This window comes from Homo sapiens, chromosome 15, assembly GCF_000001405.40.
Source record: "Homo sapiens chromosome 15, GRCh38.p14 Primary Assembly".
Classification (NCBI taxonomy): Eukaryota; Metazoa; Chordata; class Mammalia; order Primates; family Hominidae; genus Homo; species Homo sapiens.
Window position 1 is genome coordinate 88,252,656 of NC_000015.10, and position 18,459 is coordinate 88,271,114.

Consider the following 18,459-nt stretch of genomic DNA (forward strand, 5'->3'; position numbering starts at 1 on the left):
TGCCTTTGTGACGTCACAGCCTGGTTGGGTGTGGCTGCGCATGGACCCTTCCAGGCTCCATGAGGTTCCTGTGTATCAACAGCTGCAAAGGCAAAGGGATTGGCCTCCTGGGCAGAAAGGGGCCAAAAGGGAGGGCCCTTTGGAGGAGCGTGGCTCTGGTGAGGGGTGGAGGTGAGACCCACACTTATGCTCTGATGCCTTGCAACTGATTTCCTCCAGATACAAACAGGGCAGCTGAATGGGGAGATGGCCTCCCCCATCAGAGGCAGTTCCCAGCCAGCTTCCTTGGATGGCCACACAGGAATCACTCCACACACCATCCCTGAGAAGCAGAACCACAGGGAAACCTCTTGTCCCTCTGGAAACTCAGTTACAATCAGTTCAGCACTTGAAGGAAGGATCTCGAAACATTACAGCCCGAAGAACAAGAGGGTGAAACTGTGGAGGCCTCAGCATCTTCTACCCAGAGTGTGCCCAAGCTATACCCTGGGGCAGCCACCAGCATCAAGAGCTTCAGGCCAGTAGGGAGCTAGGGGACCTCTTGGTCCCATTTCCTTGATAACATCAGAAATCTGAAGAACAACTCTCCAGCAAGGCACGGGCTTCAACTGAAGCCCTCTTCCCAAGTCATACTAAAACAAGAACTGACCCCAGCTGCGGGTGCTTCTCTCTGCCCGCACATCCCTCTTCCAGCCTGCTCCATATGCAGCCCCACACAGTGGGGGTTCCTGTTGGGATTGTGTGTCTGGGGCAAGTGACCTTACCACCCCAAGCCTCCATTTCCTCAGAAGTCAAACAGGGATGGGGATGCTGACTTTCCGGGGTAAGCGTGACTCTCCGCCCTCTCTCCAGCCCCCTGGCTCTGGAGTGGAAATCTGGGCTCTTCTCGAGCTCAGTCAATACCAGCCATAGATATAACAGGGCACTGGGGAAAAGATGGGGCAAGGAGAGGTCATTTGACCCATGACCTCTGACCCTCCCCCACCTGCCACTGGCACAGCTCCTGTGGGAATCCATTTCCCTTGTTCTTTGGTGTTGGGTGGATTTAGAGAAAGGAGTCCTGATGGCCTCTCAGAATCCAAGTCCTGAAACAAGAATGGGGACACACACAGAGGGGCTCCAGATCCACTCCCTGCTCACTATCCTCCCAGACGCCCTCCTGAGGCCCTCCAGTACCAAAGAGGGCAAGAGGCCACCCCAGTCCCCTCCCATCACAGACCTTTCTGGCAGCCTAGAAAGGCTAACCCAACTCTGCCCTATGAAACTGCTTCCCTGAGCATCATTTTCAGAGGAGCAACACCTCTGTGTGGCTATAAAGAGCCTACGTGATTGTGACCATCCCTGCCTCCCACTGGCTTTCTACAGACAGACACATCCTTGGAGCAGCACACTGGATGCAGCTCACCCATTCCCAGAGACCCAGGCTGGGTACCAGGGGCCCCTTCTTCCAACCCTTGGCCCACCCCTGGCAATCTCTAGGTCAGGCTTCTGAGCACCAAGACTGGCTGCTCAGCTCCCACCTTCACCAGCACCCTACTACCCACATCCACCCCCTACACACATACACATACAGCCCCAGCAATGCACTTCCAAGTCTGAGTTTCCCTAACAGTCTCACTCTGAACCCTTCTCCCTGCATCCTTGGGAATGCTGGAAGCCTGTGGCCTGCAGTGGGGGAGAGGCACAGTTGGGTCTGTCCTGTTCCTCCTGCCCTCCCTGCTGACCCCCGCCCCTTGGCTGTTTATCTTGTCATCTCTGGCCGGGTTGAAGAGGGTAAGGGGGTGAACAGCAGAGCTGAGATATGGGTCAAGCTTGTCTCCTGGGCCAGGAGTCAGAGACATCTCCTGGGCTATCCATTTCCCTCAAACTGTCAGCTGCGAGAGCGCAAGCAGAAGCTCCATTAAGCCGAGAGGGCTGGTGGGCTTTCCAAAGAGCAGGACTGCAATTCCTCCAGGCTTTGCAGCCCCATGGCCCTGGGCTGAAGCAAGGGGAGGTGCTCCCAGAGCAGCACCAAAGGCAGGTCCGGCCCCCTTAAGTCCGTCGAAGGGGTAAAGAGCCACCCAAAATGCCTTCCTCCAGACCTTGGCCAGGACCTCAGCACAAACCCTTCTCAGCTGCCTACCCATTGCTGAGGGTCCCCAAGGGCTGGAAGCCTTGGGGGAAAAGAGGTGAGAATTATCCTCTGAGCAATTCCAGTATGGTCCACACCCTTCTCCAGGGTGGTAGGTTAGGAAGGGGTCACCTGGCCGAGGTCAACGAAAGAAAAGAGGAGCAGACTCTCCAGTCCCCAGCCCTCGATCTGTCCTCTCCTTTGCGTCTGCTGCCATCCCCACCAAAGAAAAATAGCAAGGAGAAAAGAGCAGGCCACCACTGGTCTCCCTCGGAGGGGGCAGAACCAAGCAAAAGCCAGCCAGAGTTGAATGTTCCAAATGAACCGATCCGCACGATCACACAAGAAACCCCTCTCCTCAAAACACACGCCCTCTCCTCTCCCTGCGCCATCCTGACTCGGAATAGTTCCGAGCAGTTATCAAAGCCCAAACTGGGAAGGGATCTGTAGGCGCCCAGATGCAGATGAGGGTGGCAAAGGGGTGTCTCGGAAATGCCCAAAATGGGGCTGGAGAGGGCGGGCTGCAGGAGGGGAAGGGAAGAGGTAGGCGTCCATGACGGCCTCCACACGTCCAAAGTCTCCCCGCGAGCAGCCAGCTCGCAACTTGTTTACTTGTCAGCATGTTTTGCTGTTTCCAAATGGAAATAGTTAAACACCTCGGCTGGATCGCGAGCAGTCCCTATCTGTCACCTTCCCTGCCGGCTAAGCGCTGCCGCCGCTGCCACCGCCGCTGCCGCCTCTGCCAAAGAATCGAACCTCGTCTACTTTATTCCACTTGAGCGTGGCCAAACTGTTGCTATTTAGTGGGGAGCAAAAAAAAACAATTTGCACCATCGAAACGAGCCAGCAACTGGTTGGGAGGCGGGCGGTAGCTGGGCCCCGCGTGCCCTCGGCGGCCGGGGTCCTCTCCGGGGAGAGGCACACACACGCATAGCCGGATCGCGCCTCGCCAGGGCCGGAGTCACCTGGAATGCGCAGCCGGAGAGCATCTCCCGAGCCAGAGCGAGCCTGACGCGCGCCCAGCGGGCGGCGGGCAGCGGCGAGCTGGGGCGGGCGGAGGGCCGGCTCCCGGCCGCGGGTGGGCAGGAGGGAGACGCAGAGCGCGGGGGAGGCAGGCTGGGGAGCGGCCGCCTGACTTACATGGAAGTGATATTCCTTGAGATGTCCGTGATGTTGATACTGGCGTTCCCATTGCTGTTCCCTGAATCCTGCCCTTCCAGGAGGGGGAAGAGGTTCCCATCGTCCGGCCGCCGGCAATTGATCTCAGTCTTGCTGCAGACACAATTTGCAGGGCAAGCCAGCACGGAGCCCACATAGTCCAGCCAGACGCTTCCCAGCAAGAAAATCCGCCAGAAACTACACTTGGCTGGGCAAAGAGAGACATCCATCTCCGATCGCTGCTTCTAAAAAAGAGGAGGAGGAGAGGAGAGGGGGGTGGGGTGGGGGGAGTGGGGAGAGCAGGGGGGGAAGGAAACAAAGACGGCGAGGGAGGGGGGAAGGGGGAGGGGGGGCCTCTGCCTTTGAAACGCCGAGCGATCAGATGCAAAATCCTTCAGCGTCTGAAACCATCGCGGACGCCGCCGCCGCCGCCGCCGCCGCCGGGTGGGAGCCGCGAGGAGCGCCTAGTGGCGCGGTCTGCCGGGCATGGTGGCCGGCTCGGCGATCGCTGACTCGCCGGGTCCGGGGGCTCTGGAAGCGAGGCGCGCTCTCCGACTCCGAGACTTTGCAGGGTTGCAACAGACGGTGGGGAGGCAAAAAAAAAAAAGGAAAAGGAAAAAATGGTGCTAAAGTCACCAAGTCCCACCTACTGGGCAGAATTAAAACGGACACACCACGCACCTGCAAAACACACACACTCACTCTCACACATACACACACCCGGAGCCCGAGGAAAGGAAGAGAAGGAAGATGCAGTAGGAGCTGCAGCAGCCGCCGCGAATGGCTCGCCGCGCGGCTGCAGAAATGTACAAGTGCTCCGAGCCTTACGAAACGCACGGGTTATCGGAGCGTCTTCCTCGGCTCCCTCCCTCCCTTCCTCCCTCCCTCCTCCCCTCCCTCGTCGCGGCCTCCTCCCCCCGCCCCCCGCCCGGGCTGGGAGCGGCAGGAGAGCGGAATCTCCCCCTCCCTCCCCTCCCCACACCCGTCTCTCTCCCCGCCTGTCCTCTCCCTCCTCCCCACCCACCCACCCACCCACTCGCCGGCTCGCGGCTGTAGCCGGCACCGCCACCCGCAGCCTCGCGGCAGCCCGCCCGCTCCACGCCTCGCAGCGCGGCGCCCGCTAGCCGCAGCCCGGGGGAAACCGAGACCGAAGGGAAAAAGTTGCATTTGAGATTGCGAGGGTCGGGGCTGGGGAGGGAGAGTTGGCGAGCTGGCTGCACGACACGGAAAGGCGCTCTCCTTTCCACTTTTTGGCCCTCGCGCTACCCGGTTTTGCTGCAATCCGGACCGCGGTAGGAAGTGAAATGAACGTGGCGGAGGTGATTGGGGAGTGCTCCCAAGCCTTGGGTGGGGGGCGCTCCCAAGCCTGGGTGGGTGGGGGGCGCAGGCTCACGGACGGCGACGGGGGGTGCCGGAGCGCACAGACACCCCAGAGAAGCACCCAGAGCCGGGGACCGGGACCGCAGACGCGCAGTCCTTGGTCTGAATGACACTCATTTCCGTAATCTAGAGTCTGGGGCTCTGGTCTTGGCTGGGAGGGGACTGCGGGACATGGCACGCTAGGTGCCCCCCGTGCCCGCTGCGCTTTCTTGGAGGTGGGTTTTGCATTCGGCCTTGAGCAGGCATGGATCGGGGAAGGAAGAAACAGGGGTCGAAAGGGCTGCGCTGGAGAGCCGAGGTGGCCCCGGGCGAGCTGTGCGTGCAAGAGAAATGGCCGGGGGAAATTGAGATGCAAGGGGCATATTTTGGCAAGCGCCACGCCAGCACCGTCAGAGGCCGGCTTCTCGGGCTCAGCTCTCGGGTGAGCTGAGCTGGCTGCCGGGTGAGGGGGCGGGCGGGCTGCTTTCTCCGGATTCGGGGGCGCAGAACCTCCTCCTTCCCTCCCACACAAGCACCCCTTCCTGGTAGGGACGCAAAGCAGGTGCAGCTTTCGACGAGAGCTCAGATCTCATCCGGGAAAGAAGTGTGTGTGGGGGGGGCCCCGCTTTTGCGCTGGTAGGGATTTTTTTCTTAATAAAACATAAAGATGCCAAGTGTGAGCTGTTTGCTGAAAAAAAAAAAAACGAGCATTCGCTGTGGGAAAGGAGAAGAAAGGGTTAGGGGAGTCCGAGCAGGCAGACACACTACAGCATTCACACGCAGAAGAAAGCAGGGTTCTCCTTCCCGAGCTTGGAGGAGGGCAGGCGAGGAAGCAAAATACATTGAATTCAATTCAACTGCATCCAGTATCTGAAAGGAGTCTCCCCCGCCCCCCTGTGGATTCCGATGCAGGTCATGCAACTTGCAGGCAAGATGGGGGAAGGGGTATGCCGGTGTCACCGCCTGCCCCAGGCGCAACCACAAACAGGCCGGTCGCCTTCGGGTGGCACTGTCGCTTGGAGTAAAAACTTGGACGAAAAAAATGGAAGAAAAGAACATGCCTATACAAGGCAGTTTTCCCGACTTCCCGTCACGTTCCACCTTCCCTTGGCCCCAGGGAGATTTTTACCCCCGTCGCCATTATGGCCTTGTCTCCAGACTGGCATTTTGCCCTCCCACCAGCAGGCGGGGACAGAGTGTGAAGACCTCCTTGGACTCTCAAACCACTTGCTACTGGCCCTAGGCCAATCCTGGCTGTCCTTAGGCCACTGGGAATTTCCCTGTCACTTCAAGTGCCATTCTGGGATTGGCTTTAGAATATCTGAGAGTCAGGAAACTGAGGTGTAGTCAGATCCTAACACTTGGCCTCTCTTGGGAGGTGGCAGGTGGCAGCAGAGAAACACAGCCTCTCTCAGACCACTCCTGGGCAGGGAACGCCAAGTGGATTCAGCCCAGCATCAGTGCTCCAGCCTGGAACTGAAATGGTTGTGTCCAAAAGATGCCCAGCCCACTTTTTTGAGAGAGAGAGAGAGAGAGAAAGAAAGAGAGAGAGAGAGGATTTTTAACATGTCAAGCAGAGAAGAAGAGACATCCATAAGTTAGAACAACAAAAACAACAACAACAAAAAACCTTTAAAAACCCCTCTGGATTTGGTAAAAATGCAGATTGTGGAGCAAGGGGCCCTGATGGGCAAGAAGTCTTTCATCCTGACAGTAAAATGGGATTAAGATGGGGTGCTACGTTTATGCTCACACTCTGGGCCTGAGCAGGAAGCGACAGCTGAAAAAGAGGGAAGCCCTTTCAAAAGCAGGTGACGCATGGACACATAGAGGGGACAATGCACATGAGGGTCTACCAGAGGGTAGAAGGTGGGAGGAGGGAGAGGATCAGGAAAAATAACTCATGGATACCAGGCTTAATACCTGGGTGATGAAATAATCTGTACGACAAACCCCATGACACATGTCTACCTGTATAACAAAGCTGCACATCCTACACACGTACCCCTGAACTTAAAGGTTTAAAAAAAAAAAGCAGGTGATAGACTAGAGTGGGGAAGAGCAGAATTTCATTTCTAACCACAGGGAAATGACAAGCTTTCTGGGACTCCGCTTTCCCATCTGTAAAATGACCACGTTAAGACCAGATCCTCAAAACCCAAAGTGTGGCCCTCTGTCCAGTAGCATCCATATCACCTGGAAGCTTGCAAGAAGTGCAGCATCTGAGGCCCCATCACAGACCTCCCAAACCAGAATGTCCATCAGAACAAGCTCCCAGGTGATTCATAAGCACATCGCAGCCCCATAGTCATCCCTCCCAGCTTGAAGATTCTCTGATTCTACATGGATCTGGGCCAAAGGGACTGTTGAGGGAGAAAAAAAAAAAAAAGGTGGGGAATGATGGGGATGGGTCCTCATAATGTTATTCAGTTACAGTGAAGTTAGGGTGAAATAAACTGGGTATCTCAGAGGCAGGGGCCTTGTCAGAAAAAGACATTTGAAGTTTCATTCTAAGCTTAAGAAGATGAGAATGACCTGCTCATGCACTGCTCACAGAAATCATAGTGCAGGGTCAATAATAGTGCACACTCAGAGTTTGCTAGTTCTTAACCTCTGCAGTAGGCCAAATTTAAATGTGGGAGCAGAAGAAAGTCTCCAGCGTAGACACCCTCCCCTCAGTAAGAGTCCAGAGCATTTACAGTGTCTCACCTCTTGATAAGAATGTCCTGGTTGAAAAGGAAAAATGCCTGTCGCTTCATGGAGTCCTGGAGATATCATGACCAAGCTCAGCATCCAGCCAACCAGGGGTCACCCCCCAACCTCCTCATCTCCTTTGCTACCAGCTGGAGTCTTAGAAAGGAGGAAACTCACCCGTGTGCCCCTTGCTGATCAATAAGAGGCAGGAATAGGCAAAGTTTTTTGTTTTGTTTTGTTTTTTGAACAGAAAGTAAAGCTTTAGAAACCCTTTACAGGCGAGCAGACACCTTCCAGTACCAAGGGTTTGGAGAAGACAGAAATGTTCCCAAGATTCGAATGCAATCTTTCACCAGACAGGTCAGAGTGGGGACCACTTGCTGGAGCACAGTGGCCCAACTCCCCTGACACCTAGAGAAATTGAACACGTGTCTTTCTTAAAAGGCATGTTCCAGGCGTGCAAGCACCTGAGATTAATATCAACTGTTTATGGGAGATTTCCAGCAGCCCACATTCCCCTCCACCTAGCAAGGGAGAAAGGGAGTGGAAACTCAGAGCAGAGCCCTGCCAGTCTATTGGTCACCTGTCTGCCTTTCTAACCCAGCCACATCCCTTTTTCCAAAGGACCCATACTCCTGAGTCAGTGGCCACATTACCGGGATGTAGGCCACACACCAGGCAGGTCCATGGATTCACCCACCATGCCCTGCTCCTATGGTGTCATTCTGAATCCAAGAGCTGTGCTTCACAACTTTCAAGTTTGAGCAGAAATAGGATCTACTTCTGCAAGTCTCAGCTGGTCAAGAAACTGTGATACTGGGAGGTGACTGGGGAGCACAGCGGGCTACAAAGGGAATACTAGGTCCTGAAGGACTTGCTGTTCTAAAAGAGCTATCTGGAGCTGGCAGATCTGGGCTTGGGCTAGAGGAGGAGTTCTGTTTCTTGGGTGGCCCAAGCATAAGTTACAAGGGAAAGAGACAGGTCTGGGCCTGGTTGGAGGCTGGGGATGTATAATGCTATCCAGAAGCTCTGGGTCCAAGGAAAGAATTTTGACCATACATGGAAGATGAAAGCCCACCCACAAAAGGGGACAGTCAAGCACCAAAGTGGTCCAGGAAAGCAGAAGAATTCAACCATGGAAGAGCCAGCTCAGGGCTCCCACTCAAGTCCCAATATCTTGGACAAACACCTGCCAGGAGGTTGGGACTACCTGCTGGTGGTGTCCTGCTTGAACACCTTCAGTGGCAGGAAGCTCATTACCAGCCACTCCAGAGCCTTCGACTCTGTTCTCAGACAGCTCCATTCCTTGGGTATCCTTGACTTTGACATAGCGAAGCCAGCACCCTAAAGCTGCCACCCTCGTGCTAGTGCTGCCACCTAGACCCTCAGGGAAAAGTCTCACCTCTTTTCTGCAAGCCACCCAGGAGGCTACTCACTGCCCCTCTCTTCTCTGAGCAAAGCCTCAGTTCCTTCCCTATACTCCAAAAGCACAGCTTTCTGATCTTTCCCCACTACAGCTATTGGAAATGCATTCGGTTTGTCAAAGTGATCGGTTTAAATAAAGCATGGCTCCAGATCACACCGGCTTGAGGTGCTCTGACCTTGGGGAGCCAGGCGGTAAGCAGCTGTAATGGGACTAAAATGGTGTCATGTAGGGTTTACTACCCGCTAGTATCGAACCCTAGCAATGTACTTAAGGCTCTCCGCCTCAGTTTCCCCTTCTGCAAAATAGGATCTAACTCACAAGGTTGTCATGAGATAACACAGTAAGGCACTTTGAATAGTGCCTGGTGCACATAAGCATGGTATGTCAACTTTATTATGCCACTTTTGAGGTTCCCAGAGGGCTTTACCACCCAGCAGGGAGGCCCCAGCAGCCTTTATCCACTAACAGCCAAACACAATGCCGCCATGAAGCTCTTCCCACACACATTGCAGCACCCCCTGGCAAGTTGGTGCAATGGGTCGGGTGCAGCCACCGCCCACAGATACTCTCTGGCTCTGGTCCTAGACCCCAAAGTGGTGTGCTGCCAGAGAGGGTTCAGTGAATCTCGGGTCCCTGGGGAAGAAAGTACAGAGCGCAGGCCCAGGTACATCTCCCCTGAGATGCAACTCCTCAGCCCCGGAGCCCCTCGCTGCTGGTTCTCATGCCTTTGAGTTGCTCCTTCTGGGCTTTGGTCCCTTCCATAGGAAGGTAGACCCTGCTGAGTCACCACCGGCTCTGAGCAGTTGAGTTGGGCTGGGAATTTAATGCCGCACGTCCTAGGTCCTGCAGAGGCAGTGACTCACAAGGCCTCCCTGGCCTCTGAGTGTCCTGGTGGGGGCCCTGCAGGAGCAGATGCTAGAGCCCTTCCTTAGACAGCAGGATCCAGGGCAGGCAGCTGACTTCCTGCCAGCAGGTGAGCACTGCAGGCAGGTTAGGGGAGCCAGGGAAGAGGGATTCCCACTCCATGAGCCAACTTCCCCCAAGGTATGAAATCAGGAGTCAAGAGTCAGGACTCACACTTTTAGGAAGCCAGAAACCTGCAGGTGGTTGGCAGAGGCTAGTGCAGCACCACTGACAGGGACTGAGGGGAATGGAGAGGCTGGAGAATTGCACCTCCACACCCACCCTCCATTATAGACATAGCCCTCACGTGCCTTCCTAGATGAGCTCTCTCGGAGTAACTTACATTGTGCCTTCCTCTGCACAATACCCAGCCATTTGCCTATTTACTGATGAGAGAGCAGCCAGGGATCATCTCAGAGGGCAGCCGGGGATAATGGCCTTCATTTGGCAGATGAAGCAACTAAGATTGACAGGGTGGGGCAGAGAAGTCTGGGCACCTTCCTGACTTGCAAGGAGATATTCCTGTTACCAGGTTTTAAAATGTAACTTCCTTGAGGGCACAGACCTTGCTTATTTTATCTACTGATTTGCCAGCCCCGTAAACGGCATTGAGAACACAGAGGGGCTCTCTAGGTGGTTGTTGAATGAATGGCTGCCCCCAGCACACCTTGCCCTTTTGTACCACTCCACACACATGGAAGTAAGGGTTCAGTGTCTGCCTCCCCCTGGGCTGCAGGGACCAAGAGGGCCAGGAGCTGTCAGTGTTGTTCACTACATACCCCCCAGGGCCTACTTTGGTGCTAGCCCAAAAATGGACACCACATATTTTGGGGGAAGATTAAATGAATTATTTTGCTGCCTGAAACCCCATGTGTGTCCACAAGAGAAGTTTGGGACTTAACAGAAGTGAGGTGCTTTGAGCTGACCACTTCCTCTGTATCCCCAGAGTTATATGTGCCGCCACACACTTCTCCCCAACAAGGCAAATATCAAGGGGTTTCTAGAAGCAGAAAGATTAGCAGCTCCTGTTTTCAAGAGAAGGTTGGGAACAGCAATGTCCTACCACCTGGGCCTTTGGCAGCCTCCTCCCACTGAGTCTAGGGAAGAGCCCAGGTCCAGCAGCCCCATTACTGTGGCCTCTGCCCTGCAGAAAGCCAAAGAAAGACTTCTTCTGGGTTAGACATTCCCCCTTCGTTCCTCCCCATCTCCTAGGGCCCCCACTGTATCCTATTGCCCTTCTTGGTCAACCCAGCCCACTCCTGCTCGGCTCCCAGGCTCCCGCCTCTGCCTCACCACCTCCCACGGTTGCCCTTCTCTCCACCTGCTCCTCACCAAAGCAGCCCATGCCACACCTTCCAGCTGCCCTGGCCCTGAGCCTCTGGCTCAGATTATAGGACTATGGCTTTCAGACCCATCTTTGTACTAATGCATTCATTTAGCATCAAAGCATATTGGGCTGCATCACCTTGGGCATGCTACTGTCCTTCTCTTATCCTCCACTTCCTTCTCTGTCACGTGGGGATCCAATGATGCCAAGGACCAAGCAAGATAATGCACCTGAAAACACCTTGTGGACATTAACACTCACAAATGACAGCCACTGGTTTCCACTAAGAGTAGCGGACACCAGTACCTTTGCACACTTGATTAGCACTTCACCTCTGACCTGCCTGCATTTATCAACAACCAGATGATCTCAGAGTTGAGGAAAGCCAAGACAACAGCTTCCATTTACACCATGCATTACACTCTCGCCTCCAAGGGGCAGCTTTATGAAGTGTGAGTTTTAGCCCCAGGCAAATCTGGTTTGAACCCCAGCTCCAGCACTTTCTAGCTGGTGACCTGGGCTTATCATTTCACCTAGCAGAGCCTCATCCTCCTCTCCTGAAGGGCACTGCTCATGGATATTTCCCTTGCAATGCAGTTTGGAGAAGGCAATCATAAAACGTGCATAATGTGCCTAGCCCAGGATTTGATACATAGGAGTTCTCCCTTCCCTTATTTTTTCTTTCTACTATTCTTCCTTAGGGGGCCCGCTCCATACCAGATGGTTCGGCCTCCCTATTAGGGTGCTCACAACTCCACCCTCCTTGCTTGCTAGAAACTATCCTGGCTTCTGTTTCTTTAAACAGAACAGAACTCCAGGAGCATAGAGGGCCAAAGAGGTGATGCCCCAAACTCCTCAGGCCCAGAGAGGAGGAGACCAGATATTTGCCAGATACCTGGGACTCAAAACAAGAAATCACCAGATCAGCTCCAATTTCTTCTGGCACTGATTACTGAGAACAGCACACACACAACACACATTTAAGTAGGTATCAAGAGCAAATGGAAAACCAAAATTTAAAAAAAAAAGTGTTGTCTTATTTGCTGAGACACCAGTGTGGGAATTTGGGGGAAGCGATGCGTTGTGGGGAAGGGCATGGGAAGCCATGCTTGCCTTTGGAACTAAGAGATAGTTCCCTCCCACAGACTTTCTGCTGCGTCCTCCACCCCCTCCCCAGCCCACAGCACCAGCTGCACTGCCTGGGAACTGAGGGAACAGAAAGCCCAGCCCAGGGAGTTCTGGGATGGGGGTGGGAAAGGGAATGAAGGTGGCAGTGGGGGAAGGTGCAAACCAGCCCTGACAAAAGCTCAGGTCGGATGCTCAAAGCTGTGGGGTGAATGTGAGGCATGGGGAAGGGGTCCTAGAAACTCAGCCTGGAAGCACACCTGGAAGGCACCATGAGTTCATCCAACTGCTGGAAGCCAGATGACCCTCAAAGCACTGCGGACACTTGGAGTTCCCCTTGAACACCCTCTTCCTAGTGTCAAGTTCTAGAACTTCCCTCCAAGAAAGAGAGCCCAGGAGTCCAACCCCATGGATGGATGGCAGTGACATTTTCCCACTGTGCATGTGCCCTATGACAGACCTCTCCCCAGTGTTTCCCAGTGACAAGCCCCACACTCCCCTTGCCCAGCCTCATGCTGGAACGAACAAGGAGATGTCCATAGAACTGTGGTGTGAAGGATCTAACCTCTTTCCAGAAGAGTTTATGGTTGCCCCAGGGCTCAGTGTCCCTGACAGATTTAAATGTAGCAGAAGCCATCCAGAGGCCACACCCACATACCAAAAGGGAAGCATCCCCTGGACCAAAGAAAGCCATCTCTTACGATCGTGGGGCCCCAGAGATGAAGATGGGCAGAATGATGGTGATGATGATGATAATAACTTCAACCGCAACGTATTGACTGTTTTCTGTGTGTGACATTTTTCTATAGCCTTCACGTGTGTCATTTCATTGAATCCTCACAAATACTTGGTTTTACAGTTGAGAAATAGAATCAGAGAGGTTAAATCACATGTCCAAGGTCACCCAACTGGTACGTGGAATAAGCCAGGTTTTAAACCCTGGTCTCCTAAACACAGCATGGAACCAGGTGCCACTTTTTACACTAAATTGTCCCTAGTGAGGCAATGAGGAAAGGGGAGACTGCCACCTCTGCAGGGGACTTGGTGAGGTGCACTTCTGCCCCTCTGCATCCCCACACCCCTTTGCCAGGGTTTCCCTGGTTTTGAGACCGAAGGAAGGAGGGAGGACCCCAGCGGTGACCATCCAAGCCCTCATTAGCCATAGCCCTAGACCATCCTGGGCTAGGGCTAATGAGGGCTTCAGCAGGGAGCACAATATTTAGTCTATGACCTGTCCTGTGGCAGGACAGGTTTTATCTAACACTCAAATAGCTCCTTCCCAAAAGATCAATGGGCCAACTTTCTCCCAAAAAGGACAGGGATTCTAGAGTTAGGCCCTTGGCACAGTGGACACAATGAATGTCCTACCCAAGCATCTGTAATCAACAAATCAATAATTAAGGGAGGATGCACATTAACCTTTGAACAGGTTCCAGAGAGTTTATTTTTGATCTTAAACAGGGTGAACAAGTGTGTGCTCCAAGCCTGGGGAAGGCTGTGGGCAGCGACAGAGAGATGGGGAGTGGGCTCGGGGATGGGTGTGTGAACTCACCACATGTGGTCCCCAGGGGCATGTGCTGAGGGTGGCAGGAACCTCCAGCCTGCGAGGGGGTCTTCAGGGGCTGGACAGTGCAGGTGAGCACGGGGAGCAGGTGGCGGGGGGCGGGTGGGCTTTACTCGTGGGTGGGGTGCGGTGGGGTGTGGGTGAGGGGCACTCCCAATGGGCTGGGTATGCACATGTGGATGCAGGTCGGAGAGAGAGGTGGGAGCCAGAGGGGTGTGTGGGGAGGTTGCGTGTGTGGTGAGGGCAACTGCAGAGGCTGGGGGCAAAAGAAGGTGCTTAATGAAGGATGCTGATGGCAGGATCCTCATTCCCTTGTGCCAGATTGAATTAGAAGCCATACTTTTAATCTGTAAACTCTCTGATGCAAAGATGACAGAATAGAACTTTGTAAATATCACCGCACTTCCTGACCCCCACTCTTCTCTTCTGTCCCTCCCTGCCCTCATGGGCTGACCACAGAAGCCAGCTCACTTTGCTTTCAACTTCCAAGTCCACTGAAAGTTTCCAGTCCCGGGATTTTAGGAAGAAGAAAGAAGATACTAGACATTTCTGTGAGTTCAGTTTATCATTAACCCCAACTCCCTCACACATACCAAAAATAATAGCAATAATAATATCACTGATTTTATAATTATAAAATCATAATCTTTGAAAAGGCCTTAGAGATTAACCATTCCTGTGTTCCTCACATTTTCCCAACTAGAATTCCCAAACTTGGAGGAGAGAGAGCAGGGAGGGAGGGGATGAGGGGGAAGGGGGTGGAAGATTTGTGCCATGTTTGTTATTCCTGTGCCTTTGAAGACCCTGGGGTATTGCCACAGTCACAAAAGCCTCATGGAAACTTACCAATTTGGGAAACACCACATTTAGTACAATCCCCTGTCCCTGCTATTTTATAGGTAGACAAATTAGGCCCAAGATAACTAAGTTATGTCCCCAAAGCTGCATAGTTAGTTAGGACTACAGCCAAAGGCTTCTACTCCGAGGCATCCATTCTGCCCATTCAAAAAAATGAAAGAAAGAAAGAAAGAAAGAAAGAAAGAAAGAAAGAAAGAAAGAAAGAAAGAAGGAAGGAAGGAAGGAAGGAAGGAAGGAAGGAAGGAAGGGAAGGAAAGGAAGAAAGAAAGAAAGAAAGAAAAAGAAAGAAAGAAAGAAAGAAAGAAAGAAAGAAAGAAAGAAAGAAAGAAAGACAGACAGACAGAAAGAAAGAAAGAAAGAAAGACGGAAGGAAGGAAGGAAGGAAGGAAGGAAGGAAGGAAGGAAGGAAGGAAAGAAGGAAGGAAGGGAAGGAAAGGAAGAAAGAAAGAAAGAAAGAGAAAGAGAAAGAAAGAAAGAAAGAAAGAAAGAAAGAAAGAAAGACAGACAGACAGACAGAAAGAAAGAAAGAAAGAAAGAAAGAAAGAAAGAAAGAAAGAAAGAAAGAAAGACAAGTAACAGATTCTGGCTAGAGGTCTGAGAACCTCATGTCCCAAATGCTGCTGGCCCCTCCTGGACCACACACCTCTCTCTCAAGTGGAAAGCTACCCTTTTTTTTTCTTTTTTCAGCACAACAGCATTTTATGACACATTTTTATGACATCAGCTCTTTAAGCATCTCTCTCCAAGGAACACAAAATTCTCCAACATAACCTCACCCAGGCCTTACAACAGTCCCCCAGAATCCAGCAGAGTACAGCAATTTTTGGTGTTTATTGGATACCTATTTTTCCTGCCTCGTTTCCGAAATGGATTTACAGGCAAATATAATGACCTCTCCATCGTACAGGTAGGAGTAACATAGGAACGCGACTTTCTCATGGTCACATGATACATTTTGGCCAGTGAAGTAGATGAGACCGCCTATTGTATCATCTAAAGGAGATCAGGGTTTAGCCATGTGGCCTCGCTGAATGACTCTATCAGCTTCTGCTCAGTTACCTTCCCTTGCCTGAAGTAGGAGACAGTGAAGTGGGGTTAAACTGGGGTGATCAGGGGCTGGATGGGTGAAGGCTCTGAGTGCCTCCTGCTGAGCTCAGGCCCACAGGCTTGAAGAGCTTCTAAAAATACCAGGCACGTTTCTTGCAGGGGGGCTGATTTAGCTGACCTTTCCTAAAGAGGACCGATTTGCCTGCTTCTGCCGCCTGCTTCTCTCCAGCTGACTCTTGGGCTGAACTGAGGCAGGATAGGAATATCCTCTCAGTCCCTGCATCCCTTACCCCAGATGGATCCAGTGGAAATGAAAAAAAAAAAAAAAAGGTCTAGAGCATCCCAGAGCATTTAACAAGGGCAAGCCATGGGCGAGGCAAGAGACATCGAATTGGTCATTAGATTGGTCTCTGGTCTCAAGTAGCTCATGGTCTGTCGGCTCTGTTAGGGAAAACAGCAGAATATCATCTGTGACACGTGGCAAATGGCAGGGGCCAGGTGTCGGTGGGCAGTGAGCGCATAGAGAAGTTCATTTTCTTTTTCTTTCTTTCTTTTTTTTTTTTTTTTTTTTGAGATGGAATCTCTCTCTGTCACCTAGGCTGGAGTACAGTGGCACCATCTCAGCTCAATGCAACTTCTGTCTCCCGGGTTCAAGCGATTCTCCTGCCTTAGCCTGCCGAGTAGCTGGGATTACAGGTGTGTGGCACCACGCCCAGCTAATTTTTGTATTTTTAGTACAGACGGGGTTTCACCATGTTGGCCAGGCCAGTCTCGAACTCCTGACCTCAAGTGATTCACCCACCTCAGCCTCCCAAAGTGCTGGGATTACAGGCGTGAGCCACTGTGCCCAGCCGAGAGGTTCATTTTCATTGGGGAGAGTCAGAGGGGCTACAGCTCTCTTCTTTCATTCATTTTCATTCATACATCTGTTTACTTTCATTGATTCATTTGTTTGTTTGTTGGGTGCCTGTTCTGTGTTTATGAGATCCTGTGGCAGCTGCCTTGGGATTAAGACCCAGATAACCAAGTCTGGTCCTGCTGGGCCTCATTTTCCTCATCTGTAAAATGGCTGTGTTTAAATTGGAGCCCTTCAAAAACTCCTCCCAGCTGAGACACCCAAGCTTTCTAGGTCCTGGCTGCAGTTAAGGGCTCTATTGCTCAAGTCCTGAGGTTCTCTGCTACCTCTCATTCTCTTCACTGATTTTCTGAGAGCTGCTTTTGCTTCTGGCACCCTCCAGTCCCCTAGAAGCAGAAGGACAAGGAGCAACCACCCTTGTTGAAGTCTCTGCCCGAGGCTCCTGGCAGAAGGTTTTCCCTCTTCCATTCCTGGCACACACAGCCCCTGGCAACTGTTGGTCTCATCCTGGCAGCCTGACATTTCAGAGAGAAGATTCTAGGCCCCACTTGTCTGACAGCTTGTGGTTTCTGACCCAGGACTGATGTGGACCAGGAAGGACAGACCCACATGGGAGTGGCAGCGCATGCCGGCCCTTCCTCCTGCAGCTCTGGGGTTGGAACTGACCCCCTCAGCCCCAGCCCATCACCCTCCCTGGCTTTTAGGGAGCTGATCTTCTGCAGACATGCCTGGAGCCTGGTGAGGGCAGGACAACTGTCCACCCAAGGATGGAAATGAATGCTGACAGCTCCTGATTTATGCCCTTGTTATCCTGTAAGGAAGACAGCAAGGCAATTTAAAAGGCCAGCAGCTTTGGGAAGCCCAACAAGGAGCCCCACAGCACCTGGAGCTGCCCACTGTCTCCCCAGCCAACGCTAGCTAGCTGCTTCCTGGAAAGGCCAAGATACCCTCCTCCCATCCCCAGCCTGAAAGGGAGAAGAGGGAAAAGGAAGCACGTCCCTGAGTGCCCACGAGGGTCAGATGCCAGTGGACTCCTCCCCACCCAGTGGCGTCTCTCTCATCATCCATCTTTTGCAGGTGAAGAATCAGACACTTAAAGAGGTTAAGTCGCGTACCTGAAGTTACACTGGGGAGACCAGGAGCAAACTTGCATCTGTCTGACCTCAAAGCCCTGCTTCTAAGCAGCCAGGGAGCAGTGGGATCCAGTGCAGAGATGGGGAGGAGGGGCTCTGCCACTCCCAGCCTGGGAATGAAGTGGAGCCAATGGCAAGAGCTTCCCTAGGGCTGGGTCAAACCTCCCTGCTCCAGGCATGAAGAGAAAGGAAAAGGCTGCTCCAGGTGGGGGAAGTCTGGTCCAGCTCCTTGTTAAAGAAGAAACAGGAAAATACAGCAACAGGGGGAAGTCACAGGGGAACTGACATTTTGTCAAAAGATGATGGGTTTCTGGCTCTCTCCTGCTTTCCAACTTTCCCTGGATCCCCACTGCCTACAGGTCTCCACTTTAAGCTCCACCACCCAGCATCCAGCACTGTCCAGGACCCAGCCTCTCCTCCCACTTCAGCTGCTCTGCCACCAGACTGCCCCTTGTGCCCAGCACCTGGGCTCCAGCCCACTTCCAATCTCACCTTTTCCCACTGTTACCCATCTCTATATTTTGGCTCTTCAGCTCCAGCCTGTCAAAACTCTGTCTAGCTTTCAAAGCCCAGGCATCTCACCTCCCTAACAAGCCCCCCAATTTCTCCAAGCAATTTTGCCTCCTGTATGTTCAGAACGGGGCAGCTCAGCAACTATTACAGCATCATTGAGAGCCTTCCATTGGTCTTCCATCCGTCAGAGATGGCCATGCATACTTCTGCCTCTATCCTGAACTCTAGGTTCCTTGAAGCCAGGGCCATATATTTACACAGAGTCCAGTACCTAACAGGCATTCCATCAATGTGTGTTTATCTAGTACACATTGAATTAAACTAGAAAACCAAACCAGAAAATAATGCTTGCTATTCTTTCCCATCCCCTACTTTCCATCCCAGCA

At 52.8% G+C, this 18,459-nt stretch overlaps 1 protein-coding gene and 1 long non-coding RNA gene across 28 annotated transcripts in view, besides 3 other annotated features; one reads left to right on the forward strand and one right to left on the reverse strand.

The window, feature by feature from the left end:
- Positions 1-4,084, reverse strand: part of NTRK3 (neurotrophic receptor tyrosine kinase 3) — a 396,989-nt gene extending 392,905 nt beyond the window's left edge. For 17 of the 27 annotated variants that reach the window (XR_001751292.3, XR_002957645.2, XR_001751293.3 and 14 more), the window contains exon 1: positions 3,251-3,524. Coding sequence is in view for 24 of the 27 variants with exons in the window: in NM_001375812.1 (NP_001362741.1) it covers positions 3,251-3,498 (248 nt within the window). In the remaining 3 variants the exon portion in view is untranslated. 27 annotated transcript variants of the gene reach the window in all.
- Positions 75-18,411, forward strand: NTRK3-AS1 (NTRK3 antisense RNA 1). Its single transcript, NR_038229.1, has 4 exons — positions 75-823; positions 14,126-14,217; positions 15,212-15,431; positions 16,810-18,411. It is a non-coding gene; the product is annotated as an NTRK3 antisense RNA 1 (long non-coding RNA).
- Positions 2,228-2,765: an enhancer, noted in NCBI's record as "H3K4me1 hESC enhancer chr15:88798114-88798651 (GRCh37/hg19 assembly coordinates)". NCBI's record gives its function as "activates a minimal SCP1, AML or CMV promoter by ChIP-STARR-seq in primed H9 embryonic stem cells {active_cell/tissue: H9 hESC(primed)}" and the evidence as "EXISTENCE:reporter gene assay evidence [ECO:0000049][PMID:30033119]".
- Positions 2,766-3,302: an enhancer, noted in NCBI's record as "H3K4me1 hESC enhancer chr15:88798652-88799188 (GRCh37/hg19 assembly coordinates)". NCBI's record gives its function as "activates a minimal SCP1, AML or CMV promoter by ChIP-STARR-seq in primed H9 embryonic stem cells {active_cell/tissue: H9 hESC(primed)}" and the evidence as "EXISTENCE:reporter gene assay evidence [ECO:0000049][PMID:30033119]".
- Positions 5,643-5,937: an enhancer, noted in NCBI's record as "tiled region #8091; HepG2 Activating non-DNase unmatched - State 13:Ctcf, and K562 Activating non-DNase unmatched - State 13:Ctcf". NCBI's record gives its function as "activates a minimal TATA promoter and a strong SV40 promoter by Sharpr-MPRA in HepG2 and K562 cells {active_cell/tissue: HepG2 | K562}" and the evidence as "EXISTENCE:reporter gene assay evidence [ECO:0000049][PMID:27701403]".
- Positions 18,412-18,459: the final 48 nt, after the last annotated feature.